Source organism: Homo sapiens, chromosome 2, assembly GCF_000001405.40.
Source record: "Homo sapiens chromosome 2, GRCh38.p14 Primary Assembly".
NCBI lineage: Eukaryota > Metazoa > Chordata > Mammalia > Primates > Hominidae > Homo > Homo sapiens.
In genome coordinates this window covers 158,893,023-158,893,922 of record NC_000002.12, presented here as the reverse complement: position 1 = coordinate 158,893,922, position 900 = coordinate 158,893,023, and the positions used below count along the sequence as shown (strand labels likewise).

The following is a 900-nucleotide window of genomic DNA, read 5'->3' as shown; positions in this document are numbered from 1 at the left end:
TCATTCATTTATTCACTAAATACATTGAGCATCAACTTAAGACAAGCATTATGTACTTGAGGGTCTTGTGAACTAGTTGGGGAGAGAGACATGTAAACAGATAAATTATAGTAAGACCTGTAATATGCTGATTTAGATGTATGAACCTAGTGCTGAGGGGACCCTGAGGTGGGAACAACTCTTTTTCCACAGAGGCCTTGGGGAAAGCTTTCCAGAGGAAGCAATATTGGAGTGGGTTTTGAAGGGTGAATAGGAGTTTAGCAGGTGGGAAGGGTGTGAGGGAAGGTTCTAAGAATTCCGGGTGGAAATAATAGCCTGTGCCCTGGGGTAGGGTCTAGAGAGTGTGATCCCTTTAGGAATGGCAGGAGCACCCTGTGTTTTAGTAGCACATGGGAGTTGACCTGGGCCAAGGTACCGAGTTGGCATTTTATCCTGTAGCCAAGCAAGTCAACAAAGGCTGTGAAGCAGAGTGTGACAGGATTCCTTGTGGAAGGAGAGAAGGACTCTGGCTTCCAAGGAGGATGAACAGCAGTGAGAGAGAGCAGAGTTGGGGAGACGGGGCAGGGGCTGTGAACACTCAGGCTGTGCTCCATCAGTGAACGAACTTGCCAGGACAAGCCGGGCAGCGGGGTGGAGAATGGCTCAGCCCCAACCCCCTGCAGCCATCTGTTCCTCCACACGCACACTGTGCCTCCTCCCACTCCTGAGCCGGCAGAACTTCTGCCACTGACATTTGAAACAGTGGGGGAGTTGAAAGAGGGAGGCCTGTGGCGAATGCCCCCCACCCCATCCCTCCTTGGGCTTGCTTGGTCTGAATGTGGGATATGATGTATGTGGTTACACGTGTGGCACCTACCTCTAGCAGTCAGGAGGTGAACCAGGAATGTCACTTTATTCCTT

General features: G+C 50.8%; 1 annotated feature.

The window, feature by feature from the left end:
• Positions 313–482: an enhancer, noted in NCBI's record as "experimental_53476 CRE fragment used in MPRA reporter constructs". NCBI's record gives its function as "activates a minimal promoter by MPRAs in K562 erythroleukemia cells, with activity observed for both the introgressed and non-introgressed 2:159750038 variant alleles {active_cell/tissue: K562}" and the evidence as "EXISTENCE:reporter gene assay evidence [ECO:0000049][PMID:34662402]".